At 37.9% G+C, this 23,833-nt stretch overlaps 1 protein-coding gene across 1 annotated transcript in view; it reads right to left on the reverse strand.

Moving 5' to 3' along the window:
• Window positions 1-1,362: 1,362 nt before the first annotated feature.
• Window positions 1,363-23,833, reverse strand: part of TMEM244 (transmembrane protein 244) — a 30,072-nt gene continuing 7,601 nt past the window's right edge. The window contains exons 2-5 of the mRNA NM_001010876.2: window positions 15,886-15,971; window positions 13,649-13,722; window positions 3,579-3,704; window positions 1,363-1,505 (exon numbers count right to left, since the gene is read on the reverse strand). Coding sequence (NP_001010876.1) covers window positions 1,438-1,505; window positions 3,579-3,704; window positions 13,649-13,722; window positions 15,886-15,971 — 354 coding nt within the window. The 3' untranslated portion in view covers window positions 1,363-1,437. The remainder of the gene's footprint in view (window positions 1,506-3,578; window positions 3,705-13,648; window positions 13,723-15,885; window positions 15,972-23,833) is intronic.

Genomic DNA, 23,833 nt, shown 5'->3' on the forward strand with positions numbered 1-23,833 from the left:
CTTATGTTCCTAGTTCTTTACCTGGAAGCTCTTTTCATACTTTGCTAGTTTCAATACACACTCATTTTTGTTGTTGTTTCCCCTTCCTTCATCATAATTTTGTCTTCATTGAAGTATGGCTTGAGTCTTGACTATTTCACTTGAATTCTTCTACAGAGGGCAGTTCCCTCTAGTGATCTATAAATCAGGTTTCAACCTCTTTGTCCTACTGAAAATTCAACCTTTTGAGGATCCATAAATATTATGAGAGGGCTTATTTAGATAAGTTGTATACAATAAGAAGTTAGAGAAAATTGTGTTTTGGGACATAGGAATAAATAAAATATAGTCCCATAATAAGATGTGAGAGCATGAAGCTTTGTGAATAGATGAGGAAATGTCAGAGAAGGAAAGAAGAGGAACTGTATTGTTTGGCATCAGTTCTTTTGTGTACCTGTAACTCATACTATTTCTGAGTCTACCCAGTTGGCCTGTTTTTACAGTAGAATCTTTGATGCACCCGTGGGAATATAATCAAGTGTGTATGTAGATTCCATTAAAAGTGCAAAAAAAAAAAAACACTTTTTAAAGAAAGTTATATCTATCTGCTCTAGTTTCGCTCCTCATGGAAACTCAGTCCTTATTTCCTACTATAATGGAAAAATGAGAGGGGAAGAAAGGGAGAAAAAACCGGTACAGATCAGTCTTGGAGGCAAGCTAAGAAAATCCATGGCTTGTTGAAGACTTTGCCAGAATATACAGTCTTTACTGACTTTCACTCTGGCTCCTTTATTATTGACATCAACATCTGTCATTCCTCTATAAGCTCAAATTTTACCAAAAGGAGAAGTAGAGTATGCTATACTTTTTGTTTGTTTGTTTTGTTTTGTTTTTGAGATGGAGTCTGCTCTGTCTCTGCCAGGCTGGAGTGCAGGGGTGCGATCTCGACTCAATGCAACCTCCACCTCCCAGGTTCAAGCAATTCTCCTGCCTCAGCCTCCTGAGTAGCTGGGATTACAGTTGCCCACGACCATGCCATGGCTAATTTTTGTATTTTTAGTAGACATGGAGTTTCACCATGTTGACTAGGCTGGTCTCGAACTCCTGACATCAAGTGATCTGCCCGCCTTGGCCTCCCAAAGTGCTGGGATTACAAGCATGAGCCACCGCACTCAGCCACTATACTTCTTATATTTGTATTTACCGGATGTATTTTTGTTTCTAAATACATGTTAAGATGGCAGCTTCTCTCCCATGGATGGTATCGGGGTTGGCCTGAGAGTATATTTGGGCCAAAAGAGGCAACCAGTGGAGTCCATCTTCAGTAAAACTGTGTGTTTTTTAATTATCTTAGATATTATTATTATCTTAGAAAGACAATAATTGTAAAATCTATGAGAAAATAAAATATATTTCCACAGTTATTCTATTTAACATTATTTCTGTGCATTAGAGAATCTAAACAAGCAATTTTGATATACCTAAAGCAGCCCACCAATGTGATGTCAAGGGGAATTCCAACATAACTGCAATAGAAAAAAAATGTTTAATTTCAAAACATGCGTTTTTATATTTTGCTCAAGAAGAAATACGTCTGTTTGGTCAAATTATATCCACTCAACAAGAGAAGGTTTATCCATGTTCATGAAATCAGGTAGCCCCAAGTTGTACTTCAGTCCTGGTCTAAAAGGTCATTTGTTAAGTCAAACCTTTACAACTCTTCTCCTAGAAATAATGCTATGAATTGTGAGGTTCTCAGATCAGCTCCCAAAGTTGATTTTAAGTGATGATCCTCGGGCCGTCCTGAATCCTCAATGCCTAGTTCCCTCAGGAATTCCAAACCACTTCACTCTGAAGTCACTTCTGTCCAGTAGTCATTTGTTAACATTTTCTAAGTGCCACATGTTAGATCATTAACTCATAACTTTTCTAGGTCCAGAACCTATAGCTCATTTCAACCCTGAGGATTGAACCAGCTATACTCCAAGCCCTTTTGCAAATATCAGTGGCTGTCTTGCAGAAAAAATTAAGCCCCAAAGTAAAATAGAGCACTTCAGAAGCAGAGTGTTGGGGGCGGGGTGTCCAGTGATTGTTTGAGTTACTGAGGGAGGGTTTGTGTCTGTGGAAACTGATACTAGGTGATGAATATACAGGCATTCTCTAATAGCAGCGAAGCTAGGAAGTTGTAGTTCATTTGGAAATTGTGTGTTCTTCAGTTGGAGACAGATTGTACTTTTTTTTTTTTTTTTTTTTCTGAGACAGAGTCTTGCTCTGTTGCCCAGGTTGGAGTGCAATGGTGTGATCTCGGCTTACTGCAACCTCTGCCTCCTGGGTTCAAGCATTCTCCCTGCCTCAGCCTCCCAAGTAGCTGGGATTACAGGTGCCCACCAGCATGCCTGGCTAATTTTTGTATTTTTAGTAGAGATGGGGTTTCACCACATTTGCCAGGCTGGTCTTCAACTCCTGACCTCAGGTGATCTGCCCACCTCAGCCTCCCAGAGTGCTGGGATTACAGGCGTGAGCCACGGCACCTGGCGGAGACAGATTATACTATCAATAGATCAGGGCACTGAAAATATGACAGTGATTTATATGACAGTCATAAATAATAATAAACTTTGAATTATAACCTGTGGTTGGTTATCACTCATATTTTGACTGACATGCTTTAAAAAAAAATTAGGCGGTATAGTAAGGGAGAAAATACGGCGGATGAGTACATTTTGAGTGGATAGGTGAACAAATGGATGAAATATTCATTTACTGAGTAATTATTATCTGCTAGACACATGTCGGACAATTTCTCATTATCTAATTGAAACCTCATCAGGTTTCCCCCATTTTGTAGAGAAGGAAACTAATGTAAGAGATGTGACTTGTCCACAACTACCCACCTAGTAAAAGGTAGGACTGGAATTTGTATCTGTTTTCTTCTGGCTCCAAAAATCACAGGTAGAAATAAAAACCACTTAATCTAAGAACTGGTATTTATTTTAAAATAACTATTGTTGGATAGGCGTCCGTGCATCCCCCGAGTCTTTGACAGTTTCTGCCCTCAGGGAAGGATTTTGGAGGAAAAATATGTCTTACAGGGCAAACCTTGCCCAGTTGGTGATAAGTTGAATGTGAAAGGGAAGCATCTCTATTTCAGTTTAGTTCTGAATCAGATTGGATGTTGAAAAAGAAAAATGATGCAGGGAAAACCAGGGTAATACAAATAAAGTTTAGCTAATAATAGTATTATACCAATGTTAATTTATTAGTTTTGAAAATTGTGCTATGGTTATATGAAATGCTAACATTAGGGGAAGCTGAGTGAAGGGTACATGGGAACTCTCAGTTATATTTTTGTAACTTTTCTGTAACTCTAAAATTATTTCAAAATAAAACGCTTTTAAAAAAGTTAAAAAAACCTCCCTGAGAAGAGTGGTACAAAAAAATTTGGCTGGAAAGAGGGATGAAGACCTTTCATCTTCAGTTTTTATCATCTAGCTATCATACAAGAATATGCAGACAACAAAGTTCTACTCAGGAAGTGGTTTATGTCCAACATCTGTTTTAATACATTTTCCTTGTTTCTGTTATTTTATTCTGCTTACCAGTTGAAGTGATGGCAACATGAAGAATAGTGACTGAAATAGCATAATCCCAAACCCATTCTTCCACAACTGGAACAAAAAACAATCCACAAACAAAGTAGGTGACCTCTGTTGAAACTAAAAGAACTGCAAATACAAGGAAGAATATAATTATTGAGGACTAGAGCAATGAACATTCTGAAATACAACTAGTAACAAGACCAGGAAAGCTTACTTTGAGAATAAATTTTGGTAAGAATTTTTTAAATGTTCCATTTCCTAACAATCCTCAAATTTGGATAAAACAATTAACATATTTTATCTTTTAACAATTTTAAGATTTATAGAAAACCACAATATATCATTTCTGTTTCACATTCTTTGTGTTTAACATTTTAGAAGTGAAATACAATAAAGAAGTGTTACAATATAACCAATATGTGCAAATCTGTAATTGGATTGCAAATCTCATTTTAAGATATATTAAAAACTAATGAAAAAATCCAGTTCTGAGTTTTAAGAAATGAAAAAAAATTAAACCAAATGTAAGAGTTTATTGAACTACAACGTTTGTCTGATACCAAGCACTGCCTAACTTGGAAATGAGTTCCTTTGTGTTTTTGTAATAAAATGGTTCGTTCAGATCGTCACTTGGGAAACATAACTGATAACCATGGATGAAAGAAAGTCTCATAAATGACAGGTATGGATGGAGACACCCTTCTAAATCCACTGGTAGTGACAGAGTAGTTTACCTGAACACGTATAAAGAGCTAGATATTTACAGGTGAGAACCACAAATCTCTAAGAGCCCTGAACACGTGATGGGTCAATCTTTTGCCTCTTGTCTTTGATATGGATCTTTAAGACTAGCATGTTTTCAAAAGAGAGATCCATCAGACTTTAAAGTGACAAATATATGTGATATACCACCAAGGTCCCTTTGTAAATGATACCACTTTCCATAAAAATTACCTTTCTTTCCTCTTAAAACACAGAAAATAAGTGATATGTTCATATAATTCAGGAATAAATAAATCTAAGCAAACTCTATATTTTTCAAAGCAAAAAATAAAATAATCACCTTATGTCCTACTGTGCAGAAGTAATTTATTATCCAGCAAGCCAGTGATTGCAGTCGGTAAGCGAGACACCAAGGAAGCATGCCCCAGGTGCAATCTTTTTAAAGGCCTCACACATATTCCTCTTCAATTCTATTTAATTTAACTTAACACGTTTCAAAAGTTAAATACAGAATTCATACTAACTCCTTTTCTATTGCACAGGAATTCCTTTGATCAGTGGAGATCAGTTCAGCATGCCCTGCCACCTAATATCCAGGAAAGAACTGTCCTGTTGTGTCATATTGACACCATCTCTTTCCATCACATCTCATTCCTCCCTCCCCTACTGGTTTACAGAATCACGACATTATTGTAGGGAAACAGAGATGCCTCTTTTGTTAGCATTTAGAGATTTTATAGGTTAACTTGCAGCTGCTTGGAGATAGTGATTTTAGTCTTGTACAAGCTGCATTCATGTATATTAATAGAGAATACTTATGCTTTGTTCATGATAGGAAAGAAAGCATGACTTAAAGGAAGTAATACAAAATTTGAAGTCAAGATAACAGCATTCTAGTCTCGCTTTTACAGCATAACAGTCATAAGACCTTGTCTGGGCACTGTGGTTCACACCTGTAATTCCAGCACTTTGGGAGGCCGAGGTGGGAGCATCACTTGAAGCTAGGAGTTCAAGGCCACACTGGGCAATATAGCAAGACTCTGTCTCTAAAAGAAATTGAAAAAAACTTAGCCTGGCATAATAGTGTGCTCCATAGTCCTAGCTACTCAGGAGGTGGAGATGGGAGGATCTCTTGAGTGCAGGAGTTTGAAGTTACAATGAGCTATGATCATGCCACTGCACTGCACTCGAGACTGGGTGACAGAGTGAATCTCTGTCTCTTAAAAAAAAAAAAAAAGAGTTATGGAGTCACTTCCAAGATGGCTGAATAGGAACAGCTCTGGTTTGCAGCTCCCAGTGAGATCGACGCAGAAGATGGGTGATTTCTGCATTTCCAATTAAGGTACCTGGTTCATCTCATTGGGACTGGTTGGACAGTGGGTGCAGCCCATGGAGGGCAAGCTGAAGCAGGGCAGGGTGTTGCCTCACCCGGGAAGCACAAGGGGTGGGGCGATTTCCCTTTCCTAGCTAAGGGAAGCCATGACAGACTGTATGTGGAGAAACAGTGCACTCCTGACAAAATACTGCACTATTCCCATAGTCTTAGCAACCGTCAGACCAGGAGATACCCTCCCATGCCTGGTTCGGCAGGTCCCACACCCACGGAGCCTTGCTCACTGCTAGTGCAGCAGTCTGAGATAGACCTGCGACGCTGCATCTTGATGTGGAGATGGGCGTCTGCATTGCTGAGGCTTGAGTAGCTCACAGTGTAAACAAAGAGGCCTGGAAGCACGAACTGGGTGGAGCACACCACAGCTCAGCAAGGCCTACTGCCTCTATAGATTCTACCTCTTGGGGTAGGGCATAGTAGAACAAAAGGCAGCAGTCAGCTTCTGCAGATTTAAACGTCCCGTCTGACAGCTCTGAAGAGAGCAGTTGTTCTCTCAGCATGGCATTCGAGCTCCGAGAACAGACAGACTGCCTCCTCAAATGAGTCCCTGACCCCCGTGTAGCCTGACTGGGAAACACCTCCCAGTAGGGGCCGACAGACACCTCAAACAGGCAGGTGCCCCTCTGGGACGAAGCTTCCAGAGGAAGGATCAGGCAGCAATATTTGCTGTTCTGCAGCCTCCACTGGTGATACCTAGGCAAACAGGGTCTGGAGTGGACCTCCAGCAAACCCCAACAGATCTGCAGCTGAGGGGTCTGACTGTTAGAGGGAAAACTAACAAACAGAAAAAAATAGCAACAAGATCAACAAAAAGGACATCCACCTCAAAACCCCATCTGTAGGTCACCAACATCAAAGACCAAAGGTAGATAAAACCACAAAGATGGGGAGAAACCAGAGAAGAAAAGCTGAAAATTTTAAAAAACAGAGCACCTCTTCTCCTCCAAAGGATCACAGCTCCTCGCCAGTGAGGGAACAAAACTGGGTGGAGAATGAGTTTGACGAGTTGACAGAAGTAGGCTTCAGAAACCTACTTGGTAATAACAAACTTCTCTGAGATAAAGGAGCATCTTCTAACCCATTGCAAGGAAGCTAAAAACCTTGAAAAAAGATTAGATGAATGGCTAACTAGAATAAACAGTGTGGAGATGATGTTAAATGACCTGATGGAGCTGAAAACCATGGAATGAGAACTTTGTGATGCATGCATAAGCTTTAATAGGTAATTCCATCAAGTGGAAGAAAGGATATCAGTGACTGAAGATCAAATTAATGAAATAAAGTGAGAAGACAAGATTAGAGAAAAAAGAGTGAAAAGAAATGAACAAAGCCTCCAAGAAATATAGGACTGTGTGAAAAGACCAAATATACATTTGGTGGGTGTACCTGAAAGTGATAGGAGAATGGAACCAAGTTAGAAAACACTCTTCAGGATATCATCCAGGAGAACTTCCCTAACCTAGCAAGGCAGGCCAACATTCAAATTCAGAAAATAGAGAGACACCACAAAGATACTCTTCGAGAAGAGCAATTCGAAGACATATAATTGTCAGATTCGCCAAGGTTGAAATGAGGGAAAAAATGTTAAGGGCAGCCAGAGAGAAAGGTTGGGTTACCCACAAAGGGAAGCCCATCAGACTAACAGTGGATCTCTTGGCAGAAACCCTACAAACCAGAAAAGAGTGGGGGCCAATATTCAACATTCTTAAAGAAAAGAATTTTCAACCCAGAATTTCATATCCAGTCAAACTAAGCTTCATAAGTGAAGGAGAATTAAAATCCTTTACAGAGAAGCAAATGCTGAGAGATTTTGTCACCACCAGGCCTGCCTTACAAGAGGTACTGAAGGAAGCACTAAACATGGAAAGGAACAACAGGTACTAGCCACTGCAAAAACATGCCAAATGGTAAAGACTTTAGACGCTATGAAGAAACTGCATCAATTAACAGGCAAAATAACCAGCTAACATAATAATGACAGGATTAAATTCAAACATAACAGTATTAACCTTAAATGTAAATGGGCTAAATGCCCCAATTAAAATATACAGACTGGCAAATTGGATAAAGAGTCAAGATCCATCAGTGTGCTGTATTCAAGAGACCCATCTCATGTGCAAAGACGCACATAGGCTCAAAATAAAGGGATGGAGGAAGATCTACCAAGCAAATGGAAAGCAAAAAAAGCGGGTTACAATCTTAGTCTCTGATACAACAGACTTTAAACCAACAAAGATCAAAAGAGACAAAGAAGGCCACTACATAATGCTAAAGGGATCAATTCAACAAGAAGAGCTAACCATCCTAAATATATATGCACACAATATAGGAGCATTCGGATTAATAAAGCAAGTCCTTAGGGACCTACAAAGAGACTTAGACTCCCACACAATAATAATGGTAGACTTTAACACCCCACTGTCAATATTAGACAGATCAACAAGACAGAAGGTTAACAAGGATATCCAGGATTTGAACTCAGCTCTGCACCAGGCAGACCTAATAGACATCTACCGAATTCTACACCCCAAATCAATGGAATATACATTCTTCTCAGCACCACATCGCACTTACTCTAAAATTCACCACATAATTGGTAGTAAAACACTCCTCAGCAAATGTAAAAGAACAGAAATCACAACAAACTGTCTCTCAGACTGATCTCTCAGATCACAGTGCAATCAAATTAGAACTCAGGATTAAGAAACTCACTCAAAACCTCACAACTACATGGAAACTGAACAACCTGCTCCTGAATGACTACTGGGTACATAACAAAATGAAGGCAGAAATAAAGATGTTCTTTGAAACCAATGAGAACAAAGACACAATGTATCAGAATCTCTGGGACACATTTAAAGCAGTATGTAGAGGGAAATTTATAGCACTAAATGCCCACAAGAGAAAGCAGGAAAGAGCTAAAATTGACACCCTAACATCACAATTAACAATAGAGAAGCAAGAGCAAAAAAATTCAAAAGCTAGCAGAAGGCAAGAAATAACCAAGATCAGAGCAGAACTGAAGGAGATGGAGACACAAAAACCCTTCAAAAAAATCAGTGAATCCAGGAGCTGGTTTTTTGAGAAGATCAACAAAATAGACCACTAGCAAGACTAATAAAGAAGAAAAGAGAGAAGAATCAAATAGATGCAATAAAAAATGATAAGGGGGATATCACCACCGATCCCACAGAAATACAAACTACCATCAGAGAATATTATAAACACCTCTGTGCAAATAAACTAGAAAATCTAGAAGAAATGGATAAATTCCTGGACACATACACCCTCCCAAGACTAAATCAGGAAGAAGCTGAATCTCTGAATAGACCAATAACAGGTTCTGAAATAGAGGAAATAATTAATGGCCTATCAACCAAAAAAAGTCCATGACCAGATGGATTCATAGCCAAATTCTACCAGAGGTACAAAGAGGAGCTGGTACCATTCCTTCTGAAAGTATTCCAATCAATAGAAAAGAGAGAATCCTCCCTAACTCATTTCATGAGGCTAGCATCATCCTGATACCAAAGCCTGGTAGAGACACAACAGAAAAGGAGAACTTCAAGCCAATATTTCTGATGAACATCAACGCAAAAATCCTCAGTAAAATACTGTCAAACCGAATCCAGCAGCACATAAAAAAGTTTATCCACCATGAACAAGCTGGCTTCATCCCTGGGATGCAAGGCTGGTTCAACATATTCAAATCAATAAACGTAATCCATCATGTAAACAGAACCAATGACAAAAACCACATGATTGTCTCAATAGATGCAGAAAAGGCCTTCAACAAAATTCAATAGCCCTTCATGCTAAAAACTCTCAATAAACTAGGTATTGATGGAACGCGTCTCAAAATAAAAAGAGCTATTTATGACAAACCCACAGCCAATGTCATACTGAATGGGCAAAAACTGGAAGCATTCCCTTTGAAAACTGGCACAAGAAAAGGATGCCCTCTCTCAGCACTCCTATTCAACATAATGTTGGAAGTTCTGGCCAGGGCAATCAGGCAAGAGAAAGAAATAAAGCGTATTCAATTAGGAAAAGAGGAAGTCAAATTATCTCTGTTTGCAGATGACATGATTGTATATTTAGAAAACCCCATTGTCTCAGCCCAAAGTCTCCTTAAGCTGATAAGCAACTTCAGCAAAGTCTCAGGATACAAAATCAACATGGAAAAATCACAAGCATTCCTATACACAAATAATAGACAAACAGAGAGCCAAAACATGAGTGAACTCCCATTCACAATTGCTACAAAGATAATAAAATACCTAGGAATCTAACTTACAAGGAATGTGAAGGACCTCTTCAAGGAGAACTACAAACCACTGCTCAATGAAATAAAAGAGGACACAAACAAATGGAAGAACATTCCATGCTCATGAATAGGAAGAATCAGTATCGTGAAAATGGCCATACTGCCCAAAGTAATTTATAGATTCAATGCCATCCCCATCAAGCTACCAATGACTTTCTTCACAGAATTGGAAAAAACTACTCTAAAGTTCATATGGAACCAAAAAAGAGCCCACATAGCCAAGACAATCCTAAGCAAAAAGAACAAAGCTGGAGGCATCACGCTACCTGACTTCAAACTATGCTACACAGCTACAGTAACCAAAACAGCATGGTACTGATACCAAAACAGATATATAGACCAATGGAACAGAACAGAGGCCTCAAGAATAACACCACACATCTACAACCATGTGATCTTTGACAAACCTGACAAAAACAAGAAATGGGGAAAGGATTCCCTATTTAATAAATGGTGCTGGGAAAACTGGCTAGCCATATGCAGAAAACTGAAACTGGATGGCTTCCCTACACCATAAACAAAAATTAACTCAAGATGGATAAAGACTTAAATGTAAGACCTAACACCATAAAAACCCTAGAAGAAAACCTAGGCAATATCATTTAGGAGATAGTCATGGGCAAAGACTTCATGACTAAAACCCCAAAAGCAATGGCAACAAGAGCTGAAATAGACAAATGGGATCTAATTAAACTAAAGAGCTTCTGCACAGCAAAAGAAACTATCATCAGAGTGAACAGGCAACCTACAGAATGGGAGAAAATTTTTGCAATCTGTCCATCTGACAAGGCTAATATCCAGAATCTACAAAGAACTTAAACAAATTTATAAGAAAAAAGCAACCCCATCAAAAAATGGGCAAAGTATATGAAGAGACACTTCTCAAAAGAAGACGTTTATGCCGCCAACAGACATATGAACAAATGCTCATCATCACTGGTCATCAGAGAAATGCAAATCAAAACCACAATGAGATACCATCTCATGCCAGTTAGAATGGCGATCATTAAAAAGTCAGGAAACAACAGATGCTGGAGAGGATGTGGAGCAATAGGAACACTTTTACACTGTTGGTGGGAGTGTAAACTAGTTCAACCATTGCGGAAGACTGTGTGGCGATCCCTCAAGGATCTAGAACTAGAAATACCATTTGACCCACCAATCCCATTACTGGGCATATACCCAAAGAATTATAAATCTTTCTATGATATAGACACATGCACACATATGTTTACTGTGGCACTATTCACATAGCAAAGACTTGGAACCAACCCAAATGTCCATCAATAATAGACTGGATTAAGAAAATGTGGCACATATACACCATGGAACTCTATGCATCCATAAAAAAGGACGAGTTCATGTCCTTTGTAGGGACATGGATGAAGCTGGAAACCATTATTCTAAGCAAACTATCACAAGAACAGAAAACCAAACACCACATGTTCTCACTCATAGGTGGGAGTTAAACAAAGAACACTTGGACACAGGGCGAGGAACATCACACACTGGGTCCGGTCGGGGGGTGGGGGGCTGGGGGTGGATAGCATTAGGAGAAATATCTAATGTAAATGACGAGTTGATGGGTGCAGCAAACCAACATGGCACAGGTATACCTATTTAACAAACCTGCACATTGTGCCCATGTACCCTAGAACTTAAAATATAATAATAATAAAAAAGAGTTATAAGGTGTTGAGCAAGATTTTAACTTTCAGGTCAGTCTGTTTTCTTCTCCATAAATTGGAATATGGAGTATTATTTATCTCAAAAAAATTGTTGGGAGGATTTTAATGTAAAATGAAAGGAATTTGCAAACTATTCTCTGCGATGCAAAGGAAAGATATTAGTAATTGGAGTGTTTTAACTGGACTCACACTTTCCAGTGTCCTTACTAAAATTGATCTCCTGGGTGACAAAATTATTGAAACCTACACAAAACCTGACCATAATAAATACATGCCAAAGTCTCTGAGGTTACTCTTATATTTTATTAATATCTCTGAGATTAGACAGGTATAGATTCTCACAGCAACAACTTTGAAGAGTTATGACATTTATCTCCCCAAACCCAAAATTAAAGATCTAATACGCTAAGGTTTTATTGATATCTTTGTACAAATGTTTGTGTTTCATGAGAGGAAAGGACGACTGTAAACTCTGCCAGCCATTTTGGAGATCTTCGCTAATCCCTGCTATGTAAAAGTTCATCACTAATCTCTGCTATGAAAAAACACAGCCTTCTCCCATAAGCCTGTGATATTGCCCTTTCTTTATTGACTGACCCAAAGACTAGAATTAAATAATGACAGTTGAGTGTTCAATCTCTCCCTCTACCCAAAACACACACATGGCCCATACTTGACTCTTTACTGGGACTATTTTCTTTTTAATCATTTGTGGATAGTGTTGGCAAAAACTAGGGAAGTGCCTGAAAGAAAGTTAAGATAAAGTCTTAGACCTCTTGTATCTCAGAATCGAAGTATCTTGTTCTCACATATGCTTTGCTATCCAAAATTGAATCAATAATGGCACCAAACAAGGCTGTACTAAAGCTTTTTATTTGAATTCAGTAACTCTAACTGACCAAGTTTCCTATACAAATTATAGTAGAAATCCTGTTTCATTGGCCTCCAGCAATTTTTCTATATTTGCATATTTGTACCCCAAAAATATTCTCCAGTGGTTTTTCTAATGAATTGTATTGTTTAAGGAATTGACAGTACATTAAAAAACAAGAATAGGGAAAAACTTAACAAAATATTAAGAGTAATTACTGTATACAGAATGTAAGTATGCGATTTATTTTATTTTTCTCCTTTCTGCTTGTAGATATTTTCTAAGCTTTCATTAATTAATATGTTTTATGATAGAAAACATTCAAATTTTACTTTTCTGAAGATGGGGCAAACTCACCATGAAGCTCCCCCAAACAAGAATGTTTTACATATATTCAAGGTACATAGGTGTGAAGGTTTACAAACATACTAGATATTAATTAATAACTATTCAACAAAAATGCCAAATTTAAAAGAGAGAAATTTTGCCTTAGTGTATTCTTTCTTATTGTTTTTCTTCTGCAGCAAGTTCTATACTATTTTGGGAAGAAAAATAAAACCAAGCAGAAATGTACAAAGTAGAGAATGAAAGTTCTCTGTCATCCCAGATGGGAGATAACAGTTTGTTGCATAATTCTCCAGACTTCTTATCACTGACACCATGTATTTTATTTTATGCTACAAAAATGAAATTGTATTATATGAACTCTTTTGCTGTATTTAATTTTCTATTTTATATCTCACAAATATTTTTCTACATCAGCACATTAAGTCATTATTCTTCCTTTTCTTTAAAAATAATCAACAAAAATTTACCCCCAATACAATGAAATGAAAATTTATATAGGAATTCTCATTCTTTTTCTCCACTTATTCCATATTACTCCACCTGCATGGAATAACAACTTTAAAATTTTTGATGGCACTTTTCCTAATTAATTTTTGAAATCAGATAAAATACATAGATGACTGCGAGACAGGCCTGATATTTAAAATTTTTTTATTAAAAAATTTATGGGGTTAGTGGCATTTAGTTCACTAATTGATAAGAATTTAAAATTAAAACAATTACCTTTATAGTTTATGTTGAGCCATGAGGGATTTGTTTTGAAATCAAATGGAGCCAGGACATTCAACTCATGCACCCTAAAGATGTTATAAGTGAAAACAGTTTACTCTGAATGAGGCAGTTCATAACAGCACATCAAAGTGACACACGTTACTATTTTCATACAAGGATAAGCTATGCGATTCACCCACATTGTGGCACATTTCAAAACTGGCTGGAATGTGAAGGAATCAGCAATGAAGATAATAATCTCTATAGAATCTTTTTCTGACTCAAACATCTCACTCTTCTTGCTAGAATTACAAGTTGTGGTAACAGTTACAGCAAAATTTCAGATCAGTCATTAGGTGAGACGGTATAAAGGTAACAAGGGACAAGGCAACGTCTAGTTACGAAATGTAAACTCACTTCATGACCAAACCAGTAGTTCTTCAGATGTAAAACAGGTTCACCTAAATGGTGCTATAACATATTTTTTAACATTAAGTGAGCTACTGTAGCAGTTAGAATAAATTAATTAAATGCTAAATACATCTCATCATGGATATATTTTTGAAATGTAATGTTGAAAAAAGTTACAAAATGACACCTATTATATGATACCATTTGTATTAAAAAAACCTGCTAAGCAGAAAAAAGTGAAGTGAGCTAAAAAGAGTTTTTAAAAACTGGCTGACTTGGATGACAGCCAAATAACATTTTGTCCACCTTGTCATCTTTGTCCAATTAAGTTCCACTTTGTCCACCAAGTGGACTTAATTTTATTTGATGTCTCAGCTAGAATCTTGATAGTTCCTGCCATCAAACGTAGAAGGAGAACGTAATACCATGGAGACAGCGCAGGCTTGAAAAACAACAAGATACAGGTTCTAATCCTGGTGGTGCTATAACCGTGCACTTGGGCAAGTCACCTAACCTCTCTGGGCTCAAATTTCCTACCTATAAATTGAAGAGATTAATCTCTGAGTTCCCTTCCTGTTCTAAAATCTGAGTCTATTAAAGCATACAGCTGGACTTTATATTATACCCAAGTTTGTAGTCGTGTGCAGCTGGCCAACCAGTTAGCTGCCTCCTGAAGCTTTAAGGTCTAATTACTTCAAATTCCTCACCTCTGACTCATGTTAACTACAAACCCTTAAAATCCGGTGCTCAGAGAATCCTAGAGAGTCTTGCCTTCTCCTTTCCCCAGGCATAGCCTCACTGTCTCCAGTCCCAGGGAGGAGGCTGAGGCTGCACGTGAGCGCCAGATACTTCCTCCGTGGGCTTGCCTGCAAGCATGCTGAATAACATTCTTTCCATTGCAAACATTGGTATCATTATTTTTTGATAGTTGCATATTGGTATTAATTCGCATATTGAAATAGAATTCCTTGCTTGCACAATAAAATTAAATTGTGTAAGCACTCAATTTCTAAGAAATCATTTGTAAATATACATAATGTATCTCAAGGCAACCAATATATTGGCAGCCAAAATCTGTAGAGACAAAATTCAACCATAGCAAGACAAAAAATTACCTGAAAAATAATGTTTTACACTTACATAAAAATGATACCATTAAAATACACGTATTATCCCATTTTGTCCTCATAATAACTCTTTTTTGGATGATTCCATTTGACAAATGAAGGCATTGAAATAGGAGATACACTGTCGTTTGGTCAAGATGATTCAGAAAGTTAGTAAGAACTTGGGTCAGAATGTAGGTCTCTTGCCTCCCAAAAGCTATTTCCAATATAACAGAAATTATTTAAATTGGATGTGGATGATCTTTAAGCTCCTTTCTTGTTCAAACCTTCTCTGATTCAATACCAGACCAGGGAGTAATGGGTTCGCTTTCTTTCCATGAGCATCCTCTGAAGAGGTAAGAGAAACAGTCCTAAGTGATTCTATCCACTTCATTTCATGATTGTTACTTTTATCATTTTCAGATAGAACATTTGCCTATTTTTACTTAAATAATGAAAGTAGGCTGGATGCAGGGGCTCATGCCTGTAATCCTAGCATTTTGGGAGACCAAGGCAGGAGGATCATTCAAGGCCAGGGATTCAAGACCAGCCTAGGCAACATAGCAAGACCTTGTCTCTACCAAAAATAAAAAATAAATAAAAGTAAGAAACTATGTCTTTAAAAAAATCCACATCCTCTAATCCATAAAGACATATGAAATGTTAAATATAAACATCTTTCCTATTCAATGTTAGCTTTTTAATTCTATTTGAAGACAATGTGCTACTTACTCAAACATCACGCAGCCCATGCTCAGGGACACATAGTACACAGTGTAGAAAAGAATGACACATAGAAGAAACTTCTGCAAAACAACCTGTGGAGAAAACAGGCATGAGGTCCAAGAGCCTGGGATTTTTCACATGGTCTTTGGTAACTATTTTGACAAAAGATGATGAATGATTACTAGATAGTGTTGGCTAGCCTTGTATTGCTTAAGGACCCATGGAATGGGAATGACTTCAAAGTGCCCATCTTGGAGCTTCTTTAGCGGTATAATTTTCTTAAGAGTCATGTGTCTTTGGGTTTGGTTTATTCTTCCTACCATGTATTGAAATCAATTAGTTTTTCTTTTAATTTGAGCATTAATAGCCTCTAGATATTTCTAGATGATTGCTTTCATTTCAATCCAAAATAAGATGAATAATACATAGTCTCTATATTAGTATGTATTTTCAACCATTAAACTTTTCTTATTTCTGTTAATATTAAACTTCAAATAACATTTTAATTTTTTAATACATTCACTTACTATAAAATTTTCCTTGTATAATCCAAACATGAGGATTGTAATACATACCCAGAAAACCTACAAATAGTAAATCTGTGTAAGACATTTGGAACTATCTTTTTAATTAAATTATAATTTGTGAGACAATATATTTGTTGACAAATTTTATATAGAGATACACTTACTTTTCCTGACAAATGTGTAAAACACTACATATTAAAAAAGTGTTGCTGCCTGAAGAGGTTACCATCTTACACATTTGCACCAAGAATTAATGCAATATACAAATCCATATCTCTTACCCTCCATTCACTGGAACAAACTTCCTAAATGCCAATATTTGTATTTTAACTTGACAAAATGATTCTAAACCTCAGCTGTGATAATAATATAATCTTGCCAATTATAATAATAATGGCAAGAACCACAGTTACTTTTGCACCAACCTATAGAAAGATGAGAACAGGTAAATTCCAAATAATATTAACAAAAAACCCACATAATAGCACAATAATTAAACCTCTATGCAAGAATTTACAGAGCAATTTGGTAAAACACAATAGATGGCCCTGAAATGTACTCTTCCACAGCTGAGACCTAAGAAAGAAGCACTGCAGATTAATGAGAATCAGAAAGATTATTTGACAAATGGTGCTGTGAAAATAGTCTAACTTCTAAACAAAAAAATCCCATTAGATTCCAGTCTTGTACCAGACACCACAATAAATTTCAAGGGGATTAAAGGCTTAAATGCCATGGAATAGGTTGGGAGAAAATATTTGTAATATATATCACAGGAAAAGGATTGATATCTGTAATATATAAACTCACACAAATGTTAGAAAAAGACAAACCAATAGAAAAATGGACAAAGTATGTAAATAGGCAATTCACATGAAGAAACACCTAAAGAGCCAATAAAAATAAAAAATGTGCCACACTTCACTGTTAACCTTTTCAAAGATATCCTTATGACTATAATAAAGGTCCCAGCATTTCACATGAGAAATGCTCAGTTTACTCAGTTTATTCTTGTATTTTAGAATCTTAAAGCCATTTTTGCTTAGCCCACACTCCAACACCTTAGGATTATTATTAATTTTACTTGAATGACCAATTCACCAAACTGACCACATATTTTCACTTGCCTAGGTACAGAAGGAGTCCACAGCTAGAGGCAAGAGGAGAAGGTAGTTAGCAGAGAGTATACCACAACGAATTGGCTGAATGGACCAAATTTACAGATCTACCAAGAACCTGCTTCTTCCAACTATTTTTAAATGGGTGGGATGTGAGGCCTAAGAGGGCCATGAGAAAACAGGACTCCAAGGTTCTGGGACCTTCAGGATCTTCCCCCATCCCTTGCTCCCACACCATCCTCAACACCCTCTACTCTTTGCCTATGTCCACCCCTAGCCCTGCTCACCAAGTCTCATCTCTCTCTGCCCTGATTCTCATCCCCAGTTCACTCTCAGGATCTCACATTCCTTGTTTCTTTTTTCTTTTTTCTTTTTTTTTTTTTTTTGAGACAGAGTTTTGCTTTTGTTGCCCAGGCTGGAGTGCAATGGCATGATCTCGGCTCACTGCAAACTCGGTCTCCCGGGTTCAAGCGATTCTCCTTCCTCAGCCTCCCTGGTAGCTGGGATTACAGGCATGCACCACCAAGCCCAGCTAATTTTGTATTTTTAGTAGAGTCGGGGTTTATCCATGTTGGTCAGGCTGGTCTCAAACTCCCAACCTCAGGTGATCCGCCTGCGTCAGCCTCAGAAAGTGCGGGGATTACAGGCATGAGCCACTCCGCACCTGGCCTTCACATTCCTTGTCTCTTAATCTCTCCTCCCTTATGACCTTCAGTCTCTCTTTCCTCAACCCTTGGTCCCCTCCTGTCCATGCTCCTCATTCTCTCCCTAAGACTTGCATAGCTTGTGGTTCCATGATAGCTGACACAACATGATTTTTAAAAAGGAATAAAAGGATGTGTGCAAAAGAGACATTCTTCCCACAGCTGTCTTTTATCAGAGAATAAAAATCCTTCCAGAAGCCGCAAACAGACTTCCCATTATGTCTCATTGTCCGCCACAGGGCCACGTGCCCATTACTGAACAATCACAGGTAAAGAGTAAAAGGGTTTTAACATGTCAGGTTTATGACATCATGACTGCGCTTCCGGGGACAGGCACCTACTGCCTCAATAAAAGAAAAATTGGAGTTCTATTAGCAGGGAAGAAGGAGTTGGGGCAGGAAACTACGTGTTCCACTTGGAAGGAATCAATCTGGAAATAGCTAAAAGCCCTCATTTTGTAGAGAAGAGTCTTCAAAGATCAAAAAAAAAATGTAGAGGTGTTGCCTGAGTTGAAGGCCCAAACATTGTGCGCATACATCAACTGGTTCAAATCTTCCCCAATTGCTGGGATGAGAATTTGCTGCTGGGAGATGGGTATGTAATAGGGAGCATCTTGGAGCTTCTTCAGCACTATAATTTTTTTAAGAGTCATGTGTCTTTGGGTTTGCTTTATTCTTCCTACCATGTATTGAAATCAATTAGTTTTTCTTTTAATTTGAACATTAATAGCCTCTAGATATTTCTAGATGATTGCTTTCATTTCAATCCAAAATAAGATGAATAATACATAGTCTCTATATTAGTATGTATTTTCAACCATTAAACTTTTCTTATCTCTGTTAGTATTAAACTTCAAATAACATTTTAATTTTTTAATACATTCACTTACTATAAAATTTTCCTTGTATAATCCAAACATGAGGATTGTACTACAAACCCAGAAAACCTACAAATAGTAAATCTGTGTAAGACATTTGGAACCATTTTTTAATTAAATTATAATTTGCGAGACAATATATTTGTTGACAAACTTTACATAGAGATACACTTACTTTTTCTGACAAATTTATATAACACTAAATATAAATATAATATCAAAATAATATATTTAAAAATCATTTGTAGGAAATATTTGGAAAAGCAAGGCATAATTTTTGTAAACAATTTTTCTACCTGAATTATAAATCTAGATTTTCAAATAATACTTTTCTCATAAGCAAATTCATTTGCTTTTAGTATTTTCTTCCTCGAATCTACACCCTACAGAGCCTATGGAACATAACAATTTTCTAAAAAGCAATCAGACCATCACTTCCTCTGCTTGATGTCTTTTTAGGCCCTCACATCATTATCAGGATTTATTCCTCCATTTTTTTCATTTGACAGATAGTTACTGGGCAGGGTGGCAATGCAAGGTAAATTGGATGTGGTCCAAGCCGTAGGATGCAGTTGAGCTGTTGTTCTCAAATGTACAAGCATCAGACTCACATTAAGTTCCTGTTAAAACACAGATTGCAGGGCCCCAGTCCCAGTGTTTCTGATTTGGTAATTCTGGGACAGGCTCCAGGAATTTGTGTTCATAACAAGTTCCCAGCTGATGCTGAGTCAGCTGTACCTATTACCACACTTTGAGAACTACTGATCTGGAGGCAAGAATGAGTCAAGAAATGGCTGCAATGCAAGGAGAAGAGGTATTATTGAGGAGGGTACAGAGTGCTATGTAAGCCCAAGCGAGACGCCAGCAGAGAATGGGTGGGTTATGTGTGTGTGTATGTGTGCCTCCGTGCACGTGTGTGAAGGGGGCATGAACATTCCCCAGAAAATCCTTGACAACACTTATTTTAGGTTTTCTTGAGTTAAGGCATCGCATCTGCATTACCTCATTTAATCCTTATAAAACTTCTGAGTGGTAGAATCCTTTTTTAGAGAGAAGGAAAATGAGGCTCAGAGAGGTCTTGTAACTTTCTGAACATTTAACAATAAATTGTGGAGCTGAGACTCAAGCCCTGCTCCGACTCAACCCTTATGCTACTTATGATGAGCTGAGGCAGTGGCAGGGGTTGCCATAGGCACAAGAAGCACTTGCAAAGACCTAGGTGAAGCCAAACCTTGATGGAGAGGGGTTTTGGTAGGAGAGGTTTAAAGAGCTGAAGTCAGACGTGAAGGGAAATTTATGCCTTAATGAGGAATTTTGCATGTCTCTGAAGGCCCTGGGGAGACTGAAAGATTTAAGGAGTATTATAGACTAGAGAGGGGCCATTAGGTCGGGAAAGTATTTAAATGGATTTGCAATGGAAATGGAGAGGAGGACAGGTATGTGAACTATTAAGAAAACAGAATGGATAACTTGTGGGGGGTTAAGGGAGAGGAAACTGTTGACTCTATCTCCCAATTTTCCAACCCAATTTTATCAACTAGATGGACAATAAGAGGAGCAGGATCAGTTCTAAATGATTGGAATTTGCAATTGATGATCTAGCCCAGTGCTGTCCAGCAGAAACACAATGCAAGCCACATATGTAATTTAAAATTTTTTAATAGCCACATTTATAAAAATTTTGAAAGAGTAAAATTAATTCTAATATTTATTTAACACAATATATCCAACATATTAAGATTTTGACATAAATGAATCATTAAAAATAGAGATGTTTTATGTTGTTTGTTCATACTACGTCTTAGAAGTACAAAAGGTAATTTATTTACAAGACATCTCAATTCAGACTAGCTACATTTCAAATGCTAAATGGCCATGTGTGGCCAGTGGCTGCCACGGTGGACAAGACAGTTCTCACCTCTGCCCGTCCTCCAGCCTCATCTTCTCATCCCCTGCCCCTGTTGATAGTCTAACTATATTGACTCTTTATTGAAGGATTCCTATGTGACCATCACTGTACTCATATTTTCTCATTGTATTCACCCTTCCCTGTACCTCACCACTATATGCTTGCAGGAAAAACTTTCTGGGTTTGGTTGTCTTTCATTTGCATTTCACAGACTTGGAAACTGAGACAAAGAGAGATTAAGGAACTAATCCCAGCTCATGTGGCCTATATGTGGCAGGGCTCCAGACCAGATCTGCTGGATGTTTCCTCTCAACCCTGTGCTGTCCTGCCTCGCCTCCCACCCAGAAGTTCACAATGAAAGCATGCTGAATAATCTTTATTTATTTATTTTGAGATGGAGTCTTGCTTTGTCGCCTGGGCTGGAGTGCCATGGTTTGATCTTGGCTCACTGCAACCTCCACCTCCCAGGCTCAAGCAATTCTCCTGCCTCAACCTCCCAAGAAGCTGGGGTTACAGGTGTCTGCCACCATGCCCAGCAAATTTTTTGTATTTTTAGTAGAGACGGGGTTTCACCATGTTGGCCAGGGTGGTCTCAAACTCCTGACTTCAAGTGATCTGCCCGCCTTAGCCTCCCAAAGTGCTGGGATTACAGTCATGAGTCACTGCGCCTGGCCTGAATAATCAATTTTAGTTCAACACTCTCTTTTTAAAAGTATGAAAACTGTGACTCAGACAAGTTGAGTGAATAGCCCAAGGACACACCTTTATTTAGTGGCCAAGTCGAGAATAGGAAAATAATTATATTGAATTAACAAAGTAAAAGCACTTAATAATGCTGTCCAAATGAGGGAACATTATTTTATTATGATACAATATTATTGCTGCACTCTAGGAAAAGCCAATATGTGAGACTCAGAATTTGTAGCAGTCTAGATATTTGGCTACTGCCAAACTTTTTATTACGTTTTTAAATATATTTGGATCCTGAATCAAATAAACTGTAAAAAATCATGACATTTATGGGACATTTGGCTATTTAAACTTGACTGGATATTTAATAATGTTAAAAAATTATTGTTAGGTTTTTAAGGTAAGATAATGGTATGGTGGTTTTTGTTAAGTCCTTATCTTTAAAGATGCATAAGGACATATTTGCAGTTGAAATAATATAATGTTTGGGTTAGCTTCAAAATAAAAAGGTAAGAGAATAGCTGGAAATGAAGATGAAACAAGATTGAATAGTTGATAATTTTGAAGCTAAGTGAGGGATGAATGGGATTCATTATACCATTTTATTTAAATTTGCATATGTTTACTTTTTTGGTAATAATTTTTTTTAAAAAATAAATTTATTCAACCGGTGAGCATCTTCACAAACTTTTAAAGCATGCTTTGATTAATACAATTTTGAGGAACATCCCTAGGGGATGTGGTAAGGGGTAAGCTTTGCTTAATACCTGTATGTGCAAGACGCCAAGCAAGCCACTTTGCAAACCTTATCTCCTTTAATCCTCACAACAACACTGCCAGACAGGAAGTATGATTCATCTTTATCATTGGAGCACAGAAGCTGGCACTTCGCCTTCTTTGTTCCTCTGGGGTCAAGGACATAGTTTCAGGGGGTTTACAAGTACTCTGGCCCATTGAGATGGGGCTCGCATGAAGAGAAGAGGATCACTGAGCAAGTCCTTGGACTCAGCAAAGTCCTAGGGACCAGAGGATGTGTTGTTCTGCTGGACTGTACAAGGGCAATGAAGAGGCAGGTAGCTATGCCTACTGGCAAGGAGAAACACACCTTCCCCCATTAGCAGCAGGTTAACAGGGTTCTACTGGGGGTTTGCCTGCAACCAGCGCCTCACCTTCCTTTTAGCTCCCTGGTGCCAGCCACAAACCATTCTAGGTAATCTTCTCCTGACTTCTCCAGCTCTTCTCCATACGTGCCCCAAAACTTGCAATCCAGTCTCAGCCTCTCCCCCAGCCACCTCCTCACCATCTCCCTCTTTTCTCCCTCAAGACCTGGTGCTCCTCAGGTAGATCCCTGCAGAGGGTATTCAAGCTCTCTCTGGGATTCTCTTTCCAGTCTATTGATGGAGCTCATTTTGGAAGTTGAAAAAACAAATGAGCACCCACAGCATTGAATGTTCCTCTTCATTGCTTTCCTACTATACCAAATCTAATTATCTGGCACATCACCTCCAATGGAGGAACTGGTAGAAAAGGAAAACACAAGAACATCTCACAATATATTATCTTGTGTATATAAGATCACCCGTGGGTCCTGTTATTTCCTTTGTGTTCACTCTCCTCTTTGGTGCTCCAGCCATACTTAAGTACTTCCTATTTCTGGAAAAATTCAATGCTGTTCCCCCTGTGTAGAATTAACGGCTCCTCTCTTTGGAAAACTAACTCCCACTCATCTTTTCAGGTCTAAACTGATACCTCACTTCCTCCAAGAAGTTCCCCTGACTTCTTATTCTCTACTGTATGCTCCCTAACACTCTCTTTCTCCGTATAATATTCAAACACATATCATTATAAATGCAATTTCTTCATTAAAAAGCTTCCACCTTTTTTTTTTACACTCCTATTCTGAAAGTGAAATAAATGTGCACCAGTCTGCAAATTGTGCACATTTATGATGTAATGAATGTTTTTCCAAGTTGCTTTCAGAAAACGGTCTGCTACAACTGATCTTTACATCTTTGTCATCTTTTTTGATCAAAATATTTTGATACCAGCCTTCCTTCCACTGCCCTAAAAAATAAAGCAGTTTTAATAAGTTGAAATTAAGAAAAGACTATACCTGTGTAAAAAAGGAT

This window comes from Homo sapiens, chromosome 6 (genome assembly GCF_000001405.40).
Source record: "Homo sapiens chromosome 6, GRCh38.p14 Primary Assembly".
In the NCBI taxonomy this organism is placed as follows: domain Eukaryota; kingdom Metazoa; phylum Chordata; class Mammalia; order Primates; family Hominidae; genus Homo; species Homo sapiens.